General features: G+C 51.0%; 1 protein-coding gene across 3 annotated transcripts, besides 4 other annotated features; it reads right to left on the bottom strand.

Moving 5' to 3' along the window:
• Nucleotides 1-6: 6 nt before the first annotated feature.
• Nucleotides 7-22,172, bottom strand: ADCK2 (aarF domain containing kinase 2). 3 transcript variants are annotated; one of them, NM_052853.4, is made up of 8 exons: nt 20,854-22,172; nt 20,360-20,506; nt 15,834-15,962; nt 13,980-14,075; nt 7,876-8,127; nt 5,392-5,520; nt 4,304-4,357; nt 7-454 (listed from the first exon to the last, which is right to left on the bottom strand). In NM_052853.4, the coding sequence occupies exons 1-8, from the start codon at nt 21,784-21,786 to the stop codon at nt 314-316; spliced, it is 1,881 nt and encodes a 626-aa protein (NP_443085.2). In that variant the 5' UTR covers nt 21,787-22,172; the 3' UTR covers nt 7-313. The 3 variants fall into 3 exon arrangements, with proteins under 3 accessions (NP_443085.2, XP_006716233.1, XP_011514977.1); XM_006716170.5 differs by lacking the exon at nt 7,876-8,127; XM_011516675.4 differs by lacking the exon at nt 13,980-14,075.
• Nucleotides 4,954-5,454: an enhancer, noted in NCBI's record as "H3K4me1 hESC enhancer chr7:140389463-140389963 (GRCh37/hg19 assembly coordinates)". NCBI's record gives its function as "activates a minimal SCP1, AML or CMV promoter by ChIP-STARR-seq in naive H9 embryonic stem cells {active_cell/tissue: H9 hESC(naive)}" and the evidence as "EXISTENCE:reporter gene assay evidence [ECO:0000049][PMID:30033119]".
• Nucleotides 15,726-16,226: an enhancer, noted in NCBI's record as "H3K4me1 hESC enhancer chr7:140378691-140379191 (GRCh37/hg19 assembly coordinates)". NCBI's record gives its function as "activates a minimal SCP1, AML or CMV promoter by ChIP-STARR-seq in primed H9 embryonic stem cells {active_cell/tissue: H9 hESC(primed)}" and the evidence as "EXISTENCE:reporter gene assay evidence [ECO:0000049][PMID:30033119]".
• Nucleotides 18,733-18,922: an enhancer, noted in NCBI's record as "active region_26783". NCBI's record gives its function as "activates an Ori minimal core promoter by ATAC-STARR-seq in GM12878 lymphoblastoid cells {active_cell/tissue: GM12878}" and the evidence as "EXISTENCE:reporter gene assay evidence [ECO:0000049][PMID:35858748]".
• Nucleotides 21,778-22,237: a silencer, noted in NCBI's record as "silent region_18715". NCBI's record gives its function as "represses an Ori minimal core promoter by ATAC-STARR-seq in GM12878 lymphoblastoid cells {active_cell/tissue: GM12878}" and the evidence as "EXISTENCE:reporter gene assay evidence [ECO:0000049][PMID:35858748]".

Raw genomic sequence — 22,245 nt, 5'->3', positions numbered from 1 at the left:
AAAACAGGAAAACAAAATAAATTTATTCGTCCTCCTCCACATAACATTTTCCCTGAAGGAGAGTGTCCCTGGCACCTGGCCCAGCTTCCACAATGGAATGGATAGGCCCCTTCCCTCCTTTTACTCCCTAATTGGCCCAAAGCTTTTGAACAGACCCTCAAACCAAGCAGAGGAAGCCATGGTGTGCCTTCCACCACTGGAGGGTTACATTTGAAATTGGTGTCCCAATTTTAAAACGTCCCAGCTGCCATAGGAGAGGCTCTTGGGAGTGGCCTCCAGCTCTTGACAAGGGCCCACAGAGGCCACTGCCCCATCACGGGGGGCACACTGGGCCCGTGAGGAGGAAGGGCCTCGCTGCCTCCAGGATGTCCAGTTTGGGGTCCAGTGAGCGGCCAAGCCCCTCCAACACCATGATGGCAAACACAATGGAGGCAAAGTTGCTCTCAAGCTTTACCTGGAACAGAAAAACAGAACAGTTCATCTCAGAACATGCTGATACAGGGACGTGTGTTCTGGATAATCACCTTGCTGTCCACTCTCAGCCTCCCTCAGACCTGCCCACGGGATGTTTACCATCTACCTGACATTCTCTTCTCTACCGCGTCATCTCCCCAACCATCTCACCTACTCGCCCAGCCTCCCATCTACTGGACACACTAAGGAAAAATCTAGGGGTGCGGAATATACTTTTCTAGGTTTGTGTCCATGTGTGTATGAATGAATGACCAAATAAATCTTTCACACACATCCCAGAAACTATACATTTAAATACAGGTAATTCTTCGAAACCTACAGTAACCTTTATGTATGTATGTATTTATTTATTTATTTTAGAGACAGGGTCTCACTCTGTCACCTAGGCTGGAGTGCAATGGCAAGATCATAGCTCACTGCAGCCTTGAGCTCCTGGACTTCAGGGATCCTTCTGCCTCAGCCTCCTGAGACTGGGACTCTTTTTTGTAAACAGAGGGTCTTGCAATGTTGACGAGGCTGATCTCGAACTCCTGGCCCCAAGCAATCCTCCCACCTTGGCTGCCCCAAGTGCTGGGATTATAGGCAGGAGCCATGTCAGCTGGTCTACAATAGCCTTTTTAAGAGACAACACACAGGCCGGGCGTGGTGGCTCACTCCTGTAATCCCAGCCCTTTGGGAGACCGAGGCGGGCGGATCATGAGGTCAGGAGATCGAGACCATCCTGGCTGACACAGTGAAACCCTGCCTCTACTAAAAATACAAAAAATCAGCCGGGCATGGTGGCAGGCGCCTGTGGTCTCAGCTACTCGGGAGGCTGAGGCAGGAGAATGGCCTGAACTCGGGAGGCAGAGCTTGCAGTGAGCCAGGATGGCTCCACTGCACTCCAGCCTGGGCAACAGAGTGAAACTCCATCTCAAAAAAATAAAAAAAATCAGAGACAACACACAATTGACTGCTCAAACAGGGTACAGCTGTCCCTTCAGAGCCAGATTAGTAGTAATAGCAATTGACATGGATTCTTCAACTATTCTTCAAAAGTATCATCGTTATCCCCATTCTATAGAGAAAGAAGCTGTGGCTCAGAGAGGTTCAATGACTTGCTCAAGGCCACTGAGTGAGGAGGAATAGAGCCAGATGTAAACCTAGAAGAACAGGAATCTGCTTTTTAAGTGGACAGAAGGTCAAGAAATGGAAGGTTGAATCATGGGAAATATTCTTTGTTAGAAATTAAAGAGTATTTGTCTCCGTTAAGGGCTGGAAGGTTGTCGGGGTCAGGTGGATCCAGAAGCAGCAGCATGCTCCCAGGAGCAGCTTGTGGAGTTCCAGCCTGGCAGATTGGCCACACAGGCTCTGGTCCGGGTGGGAACCCAGGGCTCTAACACCTCTGGGAATGCTTTCATTCTGAAGCTGGGTGGGGGGTTCTTAGTGTGGATTAGATTCCTTTATCTCTGTGTTACTGTCAAATACTTTATTTAAAAAAATTAAGTGCTACCTGAATAGATATTTCTTCTAAGGAAGATATATTATACAAATGGCCAATTGGCATATGAAAAGATGTTCAACATCATGAATCAGTAGAGAAATGCAATCAAAACCACAATGAGACATCACCTCACACCCATTAGGATGGCCACTAAAAACAAAACAGAAAATGACAAGTGTTGGTGAGGATGAGAGAAACGACCCCTTGTGTACTGTTGGTGGGCATATAAAATGGTACAGCTCCTATGGAAGTTCCTCAAAAACTAAAAACATACCATATGATCCAGAAAACCTACTTTGGGGCATATGTTTAAAAACTGGAAAGCAAGAACACAATGTATAGACCTTACTGGCTACATTAAATGTTTTTAAAACTTTTCTAAAATTTGAAAGTAGGATCTTGAAAAGATATTTACACATTCATGTTCACTGCAGCATTATTCACTATAACCAAGAAGTGGAAGCAACCCACGTGAACATCAACAGCATCAACAGAATAACAGGCCAAGCGCGGTGGCTCACGCCTGTCATCGCAGCACTTCGGGAGGCCAAGGCAGGTGGATCACTTGAGGTCAGGAGTTCGAGACCAGCCTGGCCAACATGACGAAACCCTATCTCTTACTAAAAATACAAAAATTAGCTGGGCATGGTGGCACTTGCCTGTAATCCCAGTTACTTGGGAGGCTGAGGCACGAGAATTGCTTGAACCCAGGAAGCAGAGGTTGCAATGAGCCAAGCTTGCACCACTGCACTCCAGCCTCGGTGACACAGTGAGACCCTGTCTCAAAAGGAAATCCTGTCACATGTTACAACATGGATGAAACCTGGGGACATTATATTGAGTAAAACAAGCCAATCACAAAAGGACAGTATACTTTATAATTCCACTTATATGAAATATCAAGAGTAGCCAAAATCATGGAAACGTAAAACAGCATGGTGGTTCCCAGGGCCGGATGGAGAGGGGAATGGGGAGCTGGTCAATGGCTGTAGAGTTTCAGCTCTGCCAAATGAGAAAGACCTAGAGATCTGTTGCACAATGCTAACACTATGCATCTGGAGAGGGTTGGGGGGTTAAATTTTATGTGTTTTTCATCACAATGAAAAATTTGTAAATGTTTTCAAACTTAAGTGCCTAGTGAAGTGCTTGGAGTGCAGTAGCTGCCCTAGGCCCTCTGTCTCCTCTTCCATCCTGGGAACAGCAGCAGCAGCAGCAAACACTCAAGGCCCCTCACCCACCGTGCTGGAAACTGTGTGGGGAGCAGATGCTCAGAGTGAGCCACGGAGGCGGGAGGACCCAGCAGCAGGCGGGGGCTTGCCCACATGGCCACAGGTGAGCTGCTCGGCCTCTCGGCTTTGGTGCCTGCCTCTTGGAAGACTGAGGGGATAAATTGGTTACTAATAGATGTCATATAGTTAAGTAATGCAATGGAAAAGGCCATCTTCCAACGAGGTCCTCCCTTCTCCACCTTCAACACTGCTTGTCCCTGGCCAGCAGCCTTAGTTTAAAGAGTGCCGGAGACTAGGCTCCATGACAAGGCGACAGAGCCGGGGCACAGGCTAAGATGAACCATGAGGCCAGCTCCCTCTAATGGACTACAGCAGCCAGGCAGGGGCCACAGCAGTCCCGCTAGGGCCTCTGAAAGCACCAGGACACAAGGCATGACCCTCTAGAGCGGCCTCTGGACCCCAGGACTTCATTCCACCAGGAAAGAGCTAAGCATGACTTACATTAACACAAGCATCATGAAAGTGAACCAAGGAGGGAAAGACATGAAAAGCCAGAGGTAGGCTGTTTCTACATTTTTAAATACACTTTTCTACATTTAAATGTCACAGATACTTAGACTGCACTGACTTGACAGATAGACTAACAGCTACGAAGCACTTGTTGCAAATGGCTTGTTACTAAAAATGCTTTCAAAATATATAATAGGCCGGGCACAGTGGCTCACGCCTGTAATCCCAGCACTTTGGGAGGCCGAGAAGGGTGGATCACCTGAGGTCAGGAGTTCGAGATCAGCCTGGCCAACATGGTGAAATCCCGTCTCTACTAAAAATACAAAAATTAGCCAGGCGTGGTGGTGGGAGCCTGTAATCCCAGCTACTCAGGAGACTGAGGCAAGAGAATCACTGGAAGCCAGGAAGCAGAGGCTGCAGTCAGCCGAGATCGCGCCACTGCACTCCACCCTGGGCGACAGAGTGAGACTCTGTCTCAAAAAAAAGAAAAACAACAACAAAAAACAAGAACCATATAATAGAAGCGCCTCCCACCACCCTGTGTCCTCCCATTCCTCCCTGCCCCGTCCCACCTTCCCCAGAGACCTCCCCTCTGAATGGCCCTCACCTTGTGAGTCATCAGCAACTTAAAGACACTAGAGAGAAGGCTGGACACATGAAGCTGGAAAAACAAAATAAAGGCTAATGCAGACCACCGAGCCTTCCAGAACCGCTCATTTCCCACCACCCCCACACTCTCAGCCCCAGCATCCCACCCCACTCCCCCGCCAGGGCACACATACACCAGTCAGCACAAAAGGGACCATCTGACAAACTCTGAAAGGACTCCTCCAGCACAAGCCCAACTCCACCTCAAGACTCGGTCACAGAGGCCTTTGGAAGACAAGCCTTTGAGCCCCACCCACCCCATCCCTGAAGCAACCACAAAAATCACACCTGCCTATAATCCTAGCACTTTGGGAGGCCAAGGCGGGCGGATCACTTGAGGTCAGGAGTTCGAGACCAGCCTGGCCAACATGGTGAAACCCCATTTCTACTAGAAATATAAAAATTAGCCGGGTGTGGTGGCGGGTGCCTGTAATCCCAGCTACTCGGGAGGCTGAGGCAGGAGAATCGCTTGAATCCGGGAGGTGGAAGTTGCAGTGAGCCGAGACAGCATCACTACACTCCAACCTGGGTGATACAGCAAGACTCCATCTCAAAAAAATTTTTAAAAAATCACACCTGGATAGACTATCAGCAGGGCCAGCGTGCCAGTGGCCACTCCTTGTCTGACCCATTCCTGCTAATGTGGCCATGAACTTGGGGATAAAACAGTCACATTTGCTAGAACTGTGTATAAAATACAAAGCAGGCTCTGGCTTGGGTTTAAATAAGGGACATGCGCATTGGGCACATCATTTGGCTGCTTGGAGACCACAGTCCTCCCTCCCTGTATGCTTGGCTGTCCCCAAATGAACAGCGACCCCTGGATGAGGAAGGAGCTGCAGCCTCCTAAGTGGCACCGCACAAGGAGGCCCCCTTGAGCACAACGGACTTCACTGGGGCTCCTCATGCCTGGAAGATGTGGGGTGGTTCTTTTTCTGCTTTAAAACTCACACCCCTCATAAAGAGGTCTCCCTTAGACCCAGGATCTGCTCTGCCCCAGGCCAGGTATGGACTCCCCAGCCCCTGTTCCGCAAGTGACCTGCCCACCTTCTCCAGGGTGATGGTGTTCTTCCTGGCCTGGGTCACCAGCATGGCCATCTCGGTTTTGAACCCCTCCACGTCCCTGCACTCGCTGGCCCGGGCATGATGCAGGATCAGCTCAGCCACTCTCTGGCCCTGGAAAATGCAACGGAAAAGGGACTTGGAGTGGAGCTAGCATAAACCTGGATGCGGTGCCCAAGCGTCTTTCTCATCTCAGCAGCTCCACCCTGACTTTTCTGGCATCTTGCTTTTGGCTCTTCCTCCTCGGGCTGTGACCTTTTCCCTTTGCCCATACCTATAGGGAGGAATGCCCCCACCCCCGCTGCACTGCGCCTCAGTGCTTAACCTTGGCCCAGGGGACACTTTCAAACCAGCTGCAGGCCCCAGCTTTGGGTTTGCCCTCTCAGAGGCAGGGACTGCCCTGCATTTTGCTGTTTAAAAAAAAAAAATTTTTTTTTAAAAAGAGCCAGATGCAGTGGCTCACACATGTAATCCCAGCATTTTAGGAGGCCGAGGCAGGTGGATCACCTGAGATCAGGAGTTCAAGACCAGCCTGACCAACATGATGAAACCCCATCTCTACTAAAAATACAAAAATTAGCCGGGCATGGTGGTGGGTACCTGTAATCCCAGCTACCTGGGAGGCTGAGGCAGGAGAATCACTTGAACCCGGGAGGTAGAGGTTGCAGTGAGCTGAGATCGTACCACTGCACTCCAGCCCAGGGAACAGAGTGAGATTCCATCTCAAAAAAAAAAAATTAATTAATTAATTTTTAAAAAAAACAGTTCTCTTTTTCCCAGTGTTTTTCTTGCTGGAGAATTCTTTGCCAGCCGGCCAGAGGGCCTCCTCAGAGTCACCCACGACGTAGTGCTTTCAATTGACTCTGCAGAGGCCTTGCCGAATGCCTTTTCTCTAAATAATCATTCTCAACCACTGCAGACCCTCAGAATCACAGGGGAGGCTGCAAAAACTACTCATGTCCCCACATCGGACGTGCCAGCATGCTGTGCCCCACTTAGAGGCTGTGTTCTCTATGCTGTCGCATCTCACCAGCCTGCCACCTTGCAGCAGGTAGCACACACCAGGGGCAGCCATTATCTGGTCAAGAAGCCAGCATTCCTGCTGACCAGCTGGATGTTTGCTGGAGAAGGACCAGAAACTACTAACACGAAACAGCACTTGTTTCTTCCCACAGTCCCAAACCATCTGCCACTCAGAACTGGCCTGATTTGCACCCAGCACCTGCTAACAGAAAGCCCCTTAAGGGCAGCCTCGCCTCCTGTCCTCCTGCCTCCCTCCACTCGTTTCTGGCACACTGGCAAGTGTGAGCATTGACAAGAATGACCGGGCTAAGGAGACCTGTCCTGTTTCAAGACAGAGACATTCTGGCTGGGTGCAGTGGCTCACACCTGTAATCCCAGCACCTTGGGAGGCTGAGGCAGGTGGATCACCTGAGGTCAGAAGTTCAAGATCAGCCTGGCCAACATGGTGAAACCCCATCTCTACTAAAAATACAAAAAGTGGCCGGGCATGGTGGCATGTGCCTGTAATCCCTGCTACTCAGGAGGCGTGGCAGGAGAATTGCTTGAATCCAGGAGGTGAATGTTGCAGTGAGCTGAGATCACGCCAAGGCACTCCAGCCTGGGTGACAGAGCGAGACTCTGTCTCAAAAAAAAAAAAAAGACAGAGACAGAGGCATTCCCCAGAGTATAAAAGATTCACCCCCTGCCCAGCCTGTAGTCCTAGCTACTCAGGAGGCTGAGATGGGAGGATGGCTTGAGGCCAAGGCAGCCTGCGCAATATAGCAAAACCCATCTCCATTAATTTTTTGAAACTTTAAAAAAAAAAAAAAAAAACTAAGATCTCACTCTGTCACCCAGGCTGCAGTAGAGCAGTGCAATCCTAGCTCACCACAGCCCCAAACTCCTGAGCTCAAGTGATTCTCCCACCTCAGCCTCCCAAGTAGCTGGGACCACAGGCGCACACCACCAAGCCTGGCTTTTTCTTTTTTTTTTTTGAAATGGAGTCTCACTCTTTCACCCAGGCTGGAGTGAAGTGGCACAATCTCAGCTCACTGCGACCTATGCCCCCCAGGTTCAATGAATTCTCCTGCCTCAGCCTCCCAAGTAACTGGGATTACAGGTACACACCACCATGCCTGGCTAATTTTATATTTTTAGTAGAGACAGGATTTCACCGTGTTGGCCAGGCTGGTCTCGAACCCCTGACCTCAGGTGATCCACCCGCCTTGGCCTCCCAAAGTGCTGAGATTACAGGCGTGAACCACTGTGCCTGGCCTATTTTCTTATTTTTTATAGAGACAGGGTCTCACTATGTTGCTCAGGCTGGCCTTGAACTCCTGGGCTCAAGCAATCCTCCCCGCTCAGGCTTCCAAAGTGCTGGGATTACAGGTCTGAGCCACCATGCTTCACCAGCTCTTTTAATTAAAAAAAATTCACCCCAACTTCTGTGGTCCCAGTGCGTCTCACCTGCCCCATCACCACAGCCATGAAAACTGCCCGGAAATTCCTCAGGTCAGGGGCCTGCAGCTCCGCCACAATGCCAGCATCCAGCAGCACCAGTCGCAGCGGGCAGAGGGAAGATGGCACGGCCACCACCAGAGTGTCACAGATGTCCGCCTGCTGCAGCTGCGCCTCCTGACTCGAGGACAGGCCGTTGGCACCCTGAACCAGGATGTTTCCAGGGTGAAGGTCTGCATGGACAAAGTTATCCACAAATATCTGGAAGGAGATCACAATGCTCATGAGTGAGTCGCCCCTAGAGCACCACCAACCTACAGAGAAAGAAAGTTGCCAGGTGACAATAAGCTCCCAGCACTCTATCACAGCCGCAAAGAGGTGCATGTCCTATAGACCCTTCTTGTTTAGATGTCAACTCAGAATTTGTACAAGGATGAGCTAAGTTAAAGTTTTCAAGAGAAAAATTATTTTCAAAGTAAAAAGCATTTTTAAAAGATTATAAAGGGGCCGGTCTCAGTGGCTTTACACCTATAATCCCAGCACTTTGGGAGGCCAACGAAGGAGGGTCACTTGAGCCCAGGAGTTCAAGGTTACACAGAGCTATGATCATGCCACTGCCCTCCAGCCTGGGTGACACAGCAGGACCCTGTCTTGTAAAAATAAATAAATAAGGCCGGGTGTGGTGGCTCACGCCTATAATCCAACACTTTGGGAGGCTGAGGTGGGCGGATCACTTGAGGTCAGGAGTTAAAGACCAGCCTGGCCAACAAGGTGAAACCTCGTCTCTACCAAAAATACAAAAATTAGCTGGACATGGTGGCACATGCCTGTAATCCCAGCTACTCGGGAGGCTGAGGCAGGAGAATGGCTTGAACCTGGGAGGCAGAGGTTGGAGTGAGCCGAGATCGTGCCACTGCACTCCAGTCTGGGCGACGGAGCGAGACTCCATCTCAAAGAAAATAATAACAAAAATAAATAAATAAATAAAATAAAAAGTCTAAGGCCAAACTGCATTTGAAATGCCTTATTTTTACTTTATGATTTGAATCATTAATATTCTAACTAAAATAATTAGCTATTTATTAAAGATTTTCCCCAAACCTCTATGTTCTTTAAACTCATAGAACTGCATTTCTTTAAAAACAGCTCATAAATCAGACTTTCCCTCCGTTACTTCAACCTGTCCACATCAGTGAGGTGTGAGAGCAAGTGCCACTAGCAGCCACATGCACACAGAGCCCTTCTGTGGAGGAGGACACAGTTCTCAGGACATACTGGTATGCAGAATTAGAGGAGCAGGAAGGACACGGCTTTGAACCTGCTAAGCTGGGCAGCAACCCCCAGGGATTGTGTTGGATTTGGCACGGCTTGTGGAACAGGAATCAGCTTCCAATAACCGGTCATCTCGGAGGTCAGGGAAACCCCAGCAATCCTTCCACGGGGGATGAGAGGAGAGACCAAGGCAGGAGCAGAGCAGCTGCTGGTGGACGGGCTCTCAGGGACTGCTTCCAGCTGACATGGGGCCCCAAGCACTGTAGATCCCCTCTTCCCTGTAAATCCAGGCCATAGACCCCATCCCTTATGGCGGCAGACCATGAAGGGACTGTCCTAGTCCAGACTGTGGCTTTGGTAGGGATAAGGGAAGCTGCTACCGGTGTGAAAATCCTGGGACCTGGGGGGCTGGGACCTGCACACCTGCAGGACATGGTCACCAAAGGCTGGGCTGACCCTCCAGCGAAGCTGGTGCCTCCTAAGTAGGTCACTAATCTTGGCCCTGGTATACATTTTTTTTTTTTTTTCTGAGACTGAGTCTCACTCTGTTGCCCAGGCTAGAGTACAATGGTGCGATCTGGGCTCACTGCAACCTCCACTTCTTGGGTTCAAGCGATTCTTCTGCCTCAGCCTCCCAAGTAGCTGGGACTACAGGTGTGCACCACCACACCCGGCTAATTTTTTGTGTTTTTAGTAGAGACGGGGTTTCACCACGTTGGCCAGGCTAGTCTCAGACTCCTGACCTCAAGTGATCGGCCGGCCTCAGCCTCCCAAAGTGCTGGGATTACAGGAGTGAGCCACCATGCCTGGCCTAGTATACTTTTAAAAATTCACTGAGCATAATTTAAGATCTATGCACTTTATTGAATGTTGCTATAATTCAGTTGTTTTTTTTTTTAAGTTTCTGAATCTTCTGGAACCTTGCCCTCAGCTCTGCCCAGGGTCTCATGCCCCGATCCTGACCCCAAAACTGGAGGCCCCTCATCCTCGCTCCACTCCTGGTGCTGCTTCATGGTGCTTCTCCCCTGGCTACATCCCTCTTGTGCCCCTTGGAGCCCTGTTCCTGTGGACAAAGTCCTCTTGCCACCGGGTTCTGACTGCAACTACTGAATTGAAACCTAGGTGTGCCTCAACAATCCTGCTTCTCCAGGAGCCAGAGGGGTGGGAGCTGCTGACTCCCCATCCCACAGGCCCTGGGGTGGAGTGGAATTAGGGTTGGAGTGGTGTCACCTGAGCCCACCCCCACAACGGCTCTCAGCCTTCCGCATGTGCGTGCGTGCTGTCAGCCTGCAGGACTCCACCTGCTCTGAGCGCCCCTGCTGCGGGGACTCCAGACGTGCCTCCACCAACAGCTCGATCTCTGACTCCTCGATTCATTCTCCGGCTCTCACCACATGCCTGGGTCCTCCCTACCATGATTCTTCGCCTCTGAGACCTGGGTATTCTTCTTCCCTATCCGCCTCGACCCCATCGCCCATTCCTGTCATCCATCCCTTCAACCACTGTCCTCTGTCCCAACCACCAGAAAGTCCAGACCCCCGACAATCTAAGATCTCCTGCATGGGGGCTGCTAACAATGCTGGGTCACGATTACTGCCAACGAAGGCAGCCATAACTAGCGTGGCTTAGGACTCACTGCAGCTCCTTAGGAATTTCCACTCCTTTAACCATCATGGTGACCCTATGAGGAAGGCACTTCTTATCCTCTTTTGAAAGATAAGAAGCCTGACGACAAAGGTTAAGTAACTTGCCCCAGACACTCCTCTCTGCCCTGAGCTAGTAAACTGGAAGCTGAGATTTGAACTCAAAACAAATCCTGCTCTGGGCTCCTAACCCCCAGGCTACACTGCAGATAGGCAAAATACCCCTCTGCCTCTCCAACACCAACATGGCTTGCCCCTCCTGACAACCATCCACATTTTCCAAGTAGCTCTTTCTAGTCCCAGGGCAGCAATTTCAAACCTCTGTGTTCTCTTTAAACCTCCTCTCCCATGGCCCTCTGCATCCTACTCCCAGCAGAGAACAATGGCCCCTTAGTTCACAAGGAAATAGAAGGTTTCCCATGGAAGCACCATCAAATCCTGTCCCTGTGCCTGTAAGTTTCTCCATCCCTCCAGCCCAGGGTTTCTCAGTCTATTGCTGGGGGTGGGGACGGCTGTCCCTGCACTCTGGGGTGGTAAGCTCCTGGCCTCTTCCCAACAGCTGCCAGTAGCACCCCCAACCCCCAACTATAACAACCAAGAATGTCTCCAGACATCGCCAGATGTCCCCTGGTAGACAAAACCACCCTGTTGTAAACCACGGCTCTGGCCTTTGTGAAACAAAGAATGCCCTCCTGATGCGGCCAGGCCCCTCTTCAGCTGGGGGGCCTTCAGAATCCTCGCTGGTAGACACAGGAAAGACAAAACCAACCAAGAATTCTTAGGAGATGGAAACCCAGGTTCTTAGGAGGAAGAATACCCGGGTCTCAGAGGAAAAGAATCATGGTAGGGAGGACCCAGGCATGTGGTGAGAGCTGGAGAACTTGAACATGTTTAAATGTCCAAGAATCAAAATCCACCTTCTGACTCCCCTGCCTCTCGTCTCACCCTCCCACTCCAACTCCACACAGTGGACATGAGGTTGTGACATTAGGGCATTCCTCAGCATAAAAACCTCCTATGTCTCTTTATGTTTGTTTGTTTGTTTGTTTGTTTAGACGGAGTCTCGCTCTGTCGCCAGGCTGGAGTGCAGTGCTGTGATCTCGGCTCACTGCAATCTCTGCCTCCTGGGTTCAAGCAATTCCGAGTAGCTGGGACTACAGGCATGCACCACCACGTCTGGCTAATTTTTTGTATTTTAGTAGAGACAGGGTTTCACCATGTTGGCCAGGATGGTCTCGATCTCCTGACCTCGTGATCCACCTGCCTCGGCCTCCCAAAGTGCTGGGATTACAGGCATGAGCCACTGCGCCTGGCTTTTTTTTTTTTTTTTTTTTTTTGAGACAGAGTCTCATTGTATCTGAGGTTGGAGTGCAGTGGCATGATTTTAGCTCACTACAACCTCCATCTCCTGGGCTCAGGTGATCCCACCTCAGCCTCCCAGGTAGCTGGGACTAAAGGCATGCTGCCACCAAACGTGGCCAATTTTTGTATTTTTTTTTTTTTTTTTTTGTAGTGACAGGGTTTTGGCATCTTGCTCAGGCTGGTCTCAAACCCCTGGGCTCAAGCAATCTCCCCGCCTCAGCCTCCTGAAGTGCTGGGATTATAGGTGTGAGCCACTGCACCCAGCCAAAACTCTCCTATGTTTTAATCTGGGCACTGGGATGCTTTTTAAAAATTCACTAAGCATCATTTAAGATCTGAGCACTTTATATTTAAATATTATTGGAATTCAATTTTTTAAAGTTAAGGGCAAAAATCTTCAAAATGAACTTATCTGCCCTTGGATTAAAGTCCAAACTCTTTCACAGATTTACTAGACCCTTTGTGGTCAGGCCCCTCTCACCTCCTCAGCCTCCTCTCACCTCCTCAGCCTCAGCAATCACTGCCCCCTCCTTCAAACTCTCTTCCAAGCCATACTAAGTGCTTTCGTCTCTCCAAGAGCACCATGCAGTAGCTCACCCCAGGCCTCAGCAAAGGCTATTCTCTCTAGACAACTCCCTGCCACCTGTCCTTATGTAGTGACACCTAGACCTTCACACTGCAGCTGAGATGGAGCCACTTCCTGAGTGAATCCCTGGGTTAGCACAGTCTCCTCCGAAATGACCTTTTGGTACCCCGTACCTATCCCTATAAATCATTTACTTAGTCGTCACCTATCTTCCCAAGGAATAGTATGTCACGAGCATTGTAATTGTGTCTGTTTTGCTCACTGCTGTAACCCCAGCCCTTAATTCAGTGCCTGGCACCTAGCAGGTGCTCAATAAACATTTGCTGAACAAATGAGCAAAGCAGCATTTAAAATAAGATATTGTCTCAGCTGTTTGCTAAACTACAGGCAATGCTGGCAGAACTGGGTCATGGTCACCCTTCTTCTCACAGCACACAGAGCATGAGCCACTGACAAAGCACTTAAGAGGCCGGGCATGGTGGTTCATGCCTGTAATCCCAACACTTTGGGAGGCCAAGGTGGGAGGATCGCTTGATCCCAGGAGTTCAAGACTGCCCTGGACAACATAGTAAGTCCCTACAAAACAATTTTTTAAATTAGCCAGGCTTGGTGGCTCATGTTTGTAGTCCCAGCTACTCAGGAGGCTGAGGAGTGAGGAGGCAGGATCACTTGAGCCCAAGAGGTTGAGGCTGTAGTTCATGGAGATTTTGCCACTGCACTCCAACCTCGGCAACAGAGTGAGACCCTATCTTAAAAAAGGAAAAAAAAGGCCGGGTGTGGTGGTTCACACCTGTAATCCCAGCACTTTGGGAGGCCAAGGCGGGTGGATCATGAGGTCAGGAGATCGACACCATCCTGGCTAACATGATGAAACCCCATCTCTACTTAAAAAAATACAAAAAATTAGCCAGGCGTGGTGGCGGGCGCCTGTAGTCCCAGCTACTTGGGAGGCTGAGGCAGGAGAATGGCGTGAACCCAGGAGGCAGAGCTTGCAGTGAGCCGAGATCACGCCACCGCACTCCAGCCTGGGCGACAGAGCAAGACTCCATCTCAAAAAAAAAAAAATAAAAGAGCTTCACAGACACCATGGCCATTTATGGTAGCCTCCACTCTTTCTAGACCAGACTTTCTCAACCTGGCGGCTTGCTGCTTCGCTCTCCTTCCCACCCAGATAGCCAGAGTCCCAGCCCACTCCCCATCTGCAAGCTGACCACATGCTGGGCCTGAGCCCGCTCCAGCCATGAGCTCACCATCTTCAGGAGCATGTTGATCCCCAGCCGTGCAATCTTCCTTTTCAAGTCCACGGGAATTCCTGCCTGCTGGTAACTGGACACAGGCACACTCTCCTTCAGAAAGACCAGGGAGAGAACAGCTTAATCCCAGCCAGCCTGTGATGCTGGCTCCTCCTCCCACGTGGCACCACAGCGCTGTCTTCTCACTTATTGGGAAGTAACCCAAAGAGTATTTCCTTTCCTAGAACCCATCTGTCATTCAGCCATGTGCAGTGGCTCACACCTGTAATCCTAGCACCTTGGGAGGATTGCTTGAGCCCAGGGGTTCAAGACCAGCCTGGACAACATGAGGGAGAACCACCTCAACTCGGAAAGTCAAGGCTTCAGTGAGCTGAGATTGCGCCACTGCACTCTAGCCTGAGTGACAGAGACTCTGTCTCAAACAAAACAAAACAAAAATCTGTCATCCACACATTGATTTGAACTTATTTACATTCCCTTCTATAACAGCTATCAGAAGGATGACAAGTCACATAGGTTTATTGAAAAGGAAACCTATCAACTCTGCTACTGAAGATAAGAGATGTGATGTCCTGAAAAGATAGGGGTGGGCACCAGAGAGCTGGTTTCTGGGCAAGAATCAGCCAATAGGGGTCTGGGCAACGTAAGGAGACCCCCATCTCTACAAAAAAAAAAAAAAATTACCCAGGTGTGGTGGCTAACACGTATAATCCTAGCACTTTTGGAAACCAAAGCAGGAGGATCACTTGAACTTGGGAGTTTGAGACCAGCCTGGGCAACAGGGAGAAACCCAGGCTCTACAGAAAAATACAAAAATTAGTCGGACATGGGGATGGTGGCTCGTGCCTATGGTCCCAGCTACTTGGGAGGCTGAGGTGGAATGATCACTTGAGCCCAGGAGGTGGAGGCTGCAGTGAGCCGAGATCATGCCACTGTACCACAGCCTGGGCAACAGAGCAAGACCTTGTCTCAAAAAAAAAAAAATTGTCAAAACAACCCATGGAGATAGATCTTGTTATCCCTAATTAACAAATAAAAGAACCAAAGCCCAGAGAGGTTAAGCAACTTGCTCAAGTTCACACAGCTAGAAACACTGTGTGGTTCATGTCACATTCATGAGATTCCCTGAATCTCATATCACCATCTGTAAAGAGGAGGCTGGGCTGGGTGCAGTGGCTCATGCCTGTAATCCCAGCACTTTGGGAGGCCAAGGCAGGCAGATCACTTGAGGTCAGGAGTTCCAGACCAGCCTGGCCAACACGGCAAAACTCCATCTCTACTAAAAAATACAAAAATTAGCCAGGTGTGGTGGCACACACCTGTAATCGCAGCTACTTGGGAGGCTGAGGCACGAGAATCACTTGAACCTGGAAGGCGGAGGTGGCAGTGAGCTGAGATCATGCCACTGCACTCCAGCCTGGGCAACAGAGTGAGACTCTATCTCAAAAAAAAAAAAAAAAAAAAAAAAAAAAGAGAGAGAAGGCTGAACTAGAGTAGAGGATAGCTAGGGCAAGTGAGATGACACAAGGTTGTTCAGCACTTTCTCTGTGCCCAACTCCTTGTTTTGCATTCAGTGTGTCATTTACTCCTGAGACAATCCTCTAAGGCAGGTCACCAACTAATAAAATGGCAGAGCAGATTTTCAAATCTAGGGGATCGGGCCACACCCAGTGTTCTCAGCTACCTCACTCCAACACTGCCTCCCGCCGAGGCCAACACATCCCAGCTCCTCACAGTTTTACAGACACAAATCCCATCCTCTCTCCAGACTGAAGCCTTTCTGTGGGCTGGAGACGGGCCCACTGCGAGTGGCAAGTGAAAGGTATGGCCAGGCAAAGCCATCACTCTTACTTCATACGTTTCCACCAAGACTTCTCTGGTGACAAAGGGGCGCAGAGGGGTGGGGAACTTGACGGCTTTCACATTCCGGAAGTTGACCTGGAAGTGTTCTAGATTCTGAGCTTCGTAACGCAGGTCAATCTACAGAGAAATGGACAGAAAGGATGAGGGCTAGTCTGGGTACAGGCACAGTGACATCTGCAATGCCAAGGAGCTAGCAAGTCATGAGATCCACCCCACCTTCCCCACCAGCTTGCCCCGCAGAACTTGCCCAGAAACTCAGGAGGCGACATCCGTGGGCTACAGCCTGCCCCAGCAATCCCAGATCTCTGTGTGAACTCCTGGAGGCTGCAGACGGCAGGTGCCCTGGTGGGCTTTGGGCTGCACTGCTTCTCTGCTACTCTCGCCCTTGCCACCCGCCTGCCTCACACCAGCCCATGAGTCCCTTCCCCGTCTCCCTGGGGTCTGGCTTCTCCAGGCCAGCCCCCAGCCCTCTCTTTCCATTAGGGCCAGCGTGCTGTGGGCGCTTCCACACAGGGCTACCCCTTCATCTCGCGGCAGCTCTCCACCCACCGCATCGACACTGCCACTGCTACTCTCCCCAACCACCACTCACCAGACCCAAAGGACCACTTCCAGGTTTATCATCAACCTCTGTGGGCATCCAGGGCTGGTGCCGCTGCTGACCTGTCTCTCCGTGATGGCTCTTCCCCCGGCACCTGCCCTTCACTCTCCTGGCACCCCTGCTGCCTCTCGCTGTCCTGTCTTGGCTGGGTCTCCTGTGCCCCCAGGAGCTGATGTCCTTTCTCCTGACCGAAGTGAGCGTGTGTGTCCCCTTGACAGCCACCAAGCCCTCAGCCGGCGCCTCCTCTGACAGCACCTTGATCCCCAGGTCAGACCTCAATGCCAGTCTCCAGAGTGATATATCCAATGACACCTGGATGTGGCCCGGTGGGAGCCCAGAGACCCTGAAGCTCTGTGCCTAAATGGAATTTCCCTTCACCATCCCCACGCACTCAGTCACCTTTGAGTCCCCAGATCATGCCTTCTCTCTTCCCCTCCGTGCACAGCAATGGCCCAATGCCATCAAGTTTGCAGCCTCACCGCCCTCAGATCAGTCCCTGTCCCCCAATGCCACTCCCAAGGCGCATGCCCTCAGGTCCAGTCACCTGAGCACAAACAGAGGTGCCTCGAGTGTGCTCCTTGACCCATCCTTCCTCTCCAATCCATTACCTGCATGGTGAAGTCTGCACTCCTTAGAATGGCATCCAGGTGGGTCATGATTTGGCCCCTACTTCTCTGTCCAGGTCCATCTCTCATGGCACCTTCCCCTGCCTTTTACCACCCAAGACCTGGCCTCACCCAACTCCATATAGTGCTCGACATCCCAGAGTGGCTAACACCCCCGGCTCTCCTCTGGCTTCTTTACTGCCTCGAATTGGAATGTTATTCCCCCACTTGGTCCAACTGCAAACACCAGTCACCTTTCAATACTCAGCTCAAGCTAAGGACACCAACCAAGTCCTCCTCTGAGCCCTGATGAACCATGCTGAGGTTCAGCCAGGCTCAGGTTCATTGCTTCCAGGGCCTCCCTCAGATACCAGATGGCTCAGTCCCTGACATAAAATTGCACAGTATTTGCATATAACCTATGCATATCCTCCCATATACTTTAAATCAGCTCTAGATTAGTTATAATACCTAATACAATCTAAACGCTCTGTAAATCATTGTTAAACTGCATTGTTAAGGGAATAATGCAAGAAAAAAAAGTCTGTACATGTTCAATACAGATGCAACTATCACAGACCTAACTACATTTTTTATTGAATCCGGGGATACAGGACTCATGGACAGAGGGCTGACTGTCTTTCTTTTTTTTTTTTTTTAGATGGAGTCTTGCTCTGTTGCCCAGCCTGGAGTGCAAAAGCATGATCTTGGCTCATTGCAACCTCCGCCTCCTGGGTTCAAGCGATTCTCCTGCCTCAGCCTCTCGAGTAGCTGGGATTACAAGCGTGTGCCACCATGCCCGGCTAATTTTTGTATTTTTAGTAGAGACAGTGTTTCGCCATGTTGGCCAGGCTGGTCTTGAACTCCTGACCTCAAGTGATCCACCTGACGCCGCCTCCCAAAGTGCTAGGACTACAGGTGTGAGCCACGGCACCTGGCCCTGACTGTCTTTCTTAGGGATAGGAAAGCTCACTTGTTTTCTTTGCTTACTAGCGTCTAACAGAGTTTTTTGTTTGTTTGTTTGTTTGTTTGTTTGTTTGTTTGAGATGGGATCTCACTCTGTCACCCAGGCTGGAGTGCGGTGGTGTGATCATGGTTCACTGTAAACTCTGCCTCCCAGATTCAAGCGATTCTCCCACCTCAGCCTCCTGAGTAGCTGGGACTACAGGTGAGCACCACCACGCCTAGGTAATTTTTTGTATTTTTGGTAGAGATGAGGTTTCACCATGTTGCCCAAACTGATCTCAAACTCCTAACCTCAAGCAATCCACCCACTTCAGCCTCCCAAAGTCCTTGGATTACAGGCATGAGCCACCGCACCCAGCCCTAACAGAGTTTTTAGTCACTGTTACATAAACTTATAAATGAATGGAGAGACACTCACACACTATACCCAGACCCACAACTCTAAGGCTTCCAGCCTAGGAACATGATGGGACTACTGAGAGACGGACACAGGCTTAGTAGGAAGAGCTGATTTTTAAGACAAATGGGGTGTGATTCAGAGATGTGAGTTTGAAGTGATGGAACCACATGATGTCTGTCAGACTTCCGCAAGGGGAACTGAAACTCAGATGAGTGGCAGGACTGAGAGGAATTAATGCAGAGATGGTTGTTGGAATCGATGCTATTTTCTCTGTTTTAATTTGCTTTTATTATCAAATTACATTGCTCTGTAGCTATGAATGTTTGTGTCCCCCCAAAATTCCTTTGTTGAAATGCTAAGCCCTAAGGTGATGGTATTAGGAGATGGGGCCTTTAGGAGGTGATTAGGTCATGAGAGCAGAGCCTGCATGAATGAATCAGCGCCTTTACACAAGAGACCCAAGACAGACCCCTTACCCCTTCTACCATGTGATGACACAGAAGGTGCCAATTATGAACCAGAAAGTGGGGCCTCACCAGACATCGAATCTGCCGATGCCTTGATCTGGAATTTTCAGCCTCCAGAACCTCGAGAAATACATTTCTGTTGTATGTAAGCTACTTAGTTTATGGGATTCTGTCCGAACAGACTAAGAGACTTTCTAAACATTGGAATGAATCCCTAGGACTTAAAATCTTAAATCAGAGCCTCCAAACAAATACTCGGCAGGTTGCTTCTGAAAACCTCCCAATTCCTGCACTACCCAACAAGGAGCCAACAGGTACCTAAGTGGAGCCCCGACCACCCCAGTGTGTTTGCTAAGTCTGTATCCTTATACAAAGGTCCCAAGGGCCCTGAGCATGAAGGAGGTCCTTGTTGACTCAATTGCCCTGGAATCAAAGCAGAACAAAGGCACAGTATGTGACTTTGCTAATTATTTTCTCACTCTGGAGTCATTGATTATGGCAGAAATAATGCTAGATGTTCTCCACCAGAATCATTTCCTTGTCACAAAGGAAGACTGTATTTCCCAAGCTCACAGTTACACTGGGCCCAGGCAGTTACAGCTCTGATCAGTGAACAGGAAAGAAGTGATGTTTGCCACTTCCAGGCCTGGCCACAAAATTTATTACATGACCCTGCATGGCCTCTGCCTCCAATCCACACTGACCCCAGATGACACATGTTGAAGGAGGCAGTGCCAAACTTGGGAAGAAATTGAGTCCCCTGAAACTAGGGAGTAGAGCTCCCTCTCTTGACCGTACGGTGGCTTAGTTCTGTCATCTCAGCACTTTGGAAGGCCGAGGAGGGAGAATGGCTTGAGCCCAGGAGTTCAAAATCAGCCTGGACAACAATGGCAAGACCCTGTCTCTGTTTTTAAAATAATAAAATAAAGAGCTCCCTTTCTCTGCCTCAGTTCACCTGCATAGAACTTTGTTTTTTGTTTTTATTTTTCTTTTGAGATGGAGTCTCACTCTGTCGCCAGGCTGGAGTGCAGTGGCATGATGTCATCTCACTGCAACCTCCATCTTGGGTTCAAGCAATTCTCATGCCTCAGCTTCCTGAGTAGCTGGGATTACAGGCATGCAGCACCACGCCCAGCTAATTTTTGTATTTTCAGTAGAGACAGGGTTACACCATGTTGGCCAGGCTGATCTCGAACTCCTGGCCTCAAGTGATCCACCTGCCTGAGCCTCCCAAAGTCCTAGGATTACACACATGAGCCACCACGCCCGGCCAGAACTTTGATATAAGCAAAAAATTAATTTGTTGCATTAAGCCACTGAGATTTGGATGTTCTTTATCAGCTAGTGTTACCAGCTCTAACACATCACATGAGTTATGACATACCAGAAAATTATTCATTCAACATTTACTAAGTAGCAGCTAATGGCAAGAACTATGTTAGGTGCTATTTACAGCTGAGGGGAGGAGAACTCACCTGTTGGACCATCAGCTTCTCAAATTCCTCCACAATCTCAGGCAAGCTAAGCCACTTGATGCCTGGCAAAACTCCCAGGACTCGGCTGCCAATCTTCATCAGCAGCAGGTCCATATGCACCTGAGCGAGCAGGCCAGGGTGCAACACCTGTCAGAAAGAGGAACCGTGAGACAGGAGAAACCTGCTGGACACATTTTACCCAGCCAGGGCTGGGTCCCACCATCCAAGCAAGAGCCAGGTGGCTTCTTATCAAAGAAAAGAGGATGTGGTCCCGACACCCAAGCAGTTAGTTCACTCCAGACTCAGTTCATTTTCCTCTATCAGACTATTCACACCGCCACTTCAAGCCAATAAATGAAACAGCTTGCATGAAATAAGCACTCAGATATTGGTCAGGCAAATAGAAATAAACGTGGGGGCGATTTGCATGGCGGTTGTTTCTGATCTGGGATAGCTCAGTGGGTAGGTGAGCTGTGAGCTCTCACAACACTTACTTTCACTGCCACGGAGATGAGGTTGGTGGCCTCAGGTTGGTGGCCAGGGACCTGAGCCCGAGACACCCCTGCATTTGATCCAACCAGGTCAGCTTTAGGGAGGAGCAGCCTTTCTAGAAACGACTGGTCTGCGAGATTTTCTGGAGGTTTCCGGCCATTTCCAAGGTATCCAAAGAGCTCTCTCAGCCCACCGACTGCCCCAGTATGTGAGAAGGGCGGCAGACAGGAGGCCCTGCCAAGTCTCTGGACGCTGTCAGTCTCCAGGAAGGCAGTGTTGGCGTATGCTTTGTACACCTGGGCCACGCAGCCTGAGCCCACAGGTTCCCGGTTCTCAAAAGAGAGGATGCTCCCCCAGTCATCCCCAAAAGCCTGCCGAAGGAAGCGCTCAGTGTGAGTCCACGGGTGGGGCGTCACTCGGACATGCAGCTTGGAAAATTGGGCACAGAAAGCCTCCGAAAACAGATCGCGCCGGGTGCTGGCCCACTGGCCCAGTTTGATGTAGGTTGGGCCTGAGGTCTCGGTGGCTTTCAGAAGCAGGTGGAGCCAGAGGGTGGAGACGCTGGGAGCCAGGTAGGTGAGGGGGTAGAGGAGTAGGAGGGGGAAGAATTTCACCAACAGAGCGCCGGCGCGAAGCCAGAGGCGGAGATGCAGGAAGACGCCGCCCAGAGGTCCCGCTCGGGGGAGGCTCTCCGCGGGCCCCGCGCCAGCCGCCCCGCTGCAGCGGACCCTTCGCCGACTCAGAACGTCAGGGGCCCCCTCACCCACGTCCCCGCACAGGGAGACGACCTTGGGCAAAGTGCCCAGCAGAAGCCAGCAGAGCCTGGCATCGCGAGGGCACTCGGAGGGCCTCAGGAGGCTGAGTCCCTGTCTGAGCTCGAAGCACCTCAGGTGCGACAGGCAAACCCTGACGGAGACGCGCCAGGGCGCCACCATCCTCCCGAGGCCCGCGGCCCAGGCGGCCCGCCCTCCACTTCAGAGGCGCCCGCTCAGGCGAGGCTGCGGTGAAGCCGAAGCCCGGCCCTGACCCCGCGGACGGAGCTGCCCATCTGGGCCGGATCCGCGCCCCGCTCCCTCCAGCACCTCGCCGGGCCTCAGGCCGGAGGCCCGCGCCCCGCCCGACACCCGCCGCGCCGCGCCGCGCCGCGCGGAAGGGGCTGTCAGACGGCACCAACTGCGGAACGGGAGGAGCCAGGACCCACGCGAAGCCAGGCCCCGGGCGCCCGCGACCTGAGCGAGGGGGCCGCGCGGGCGGAGGCAGGGGCCGGGCAGCCGCAGGGTCACCGTGCGCCCAGGGGCCAGTATGAGATCGCTGGGGTGGCGGGCACCAGCCCAGGGCGCGGGCGCAGGCGGGGGCCGGGAGGGCGGGGCGGAGCGTGGAGGGCGGGCGGAGCG

This window comes from Homo sapiens, chromosome 7, assembly GCF_000001405.40.
Source record: "Homo sapiens chromosome 7, GRCh38.p14 Primary Assembly".
NCBI lineage: Eukaryota > Metazoa > Chordata > Mammalia > Primates > Hominidae > Homo > Homo sapiens.
This window is presented reverse-complemented; position numbering and strand designations above follow the sequence as displayed.

What these genes read in the sequence shown, in the direction of transcription:
- ADCK2 (NM_052853.4), bottom strand. Translation starts at nt 21,786, where the DNA reads ATGGTGGCGCCCTGGCGCGTCTCCGTCAGGGTTTGCCTGTCGCACCTG. An exon ending in TCTTGGTGGAAACGTATGAA is followed by an intron (nt 14,076 to 15,833) that starts GTAAGAGTGATG and finishes GTCTTTCTGAAG; the next exon opens with GAGAGTGTGCCTGTGTCCAG. An exon ending in ACACCATCACCCTGGAGAAG is followed by an intron (nt 4,358 to 5,391) that starts GTGGGCAGGTCA and finishes TTGTTTTTCCAG; the next exon opens with CTTCATGTGTCCAGCCTTCT.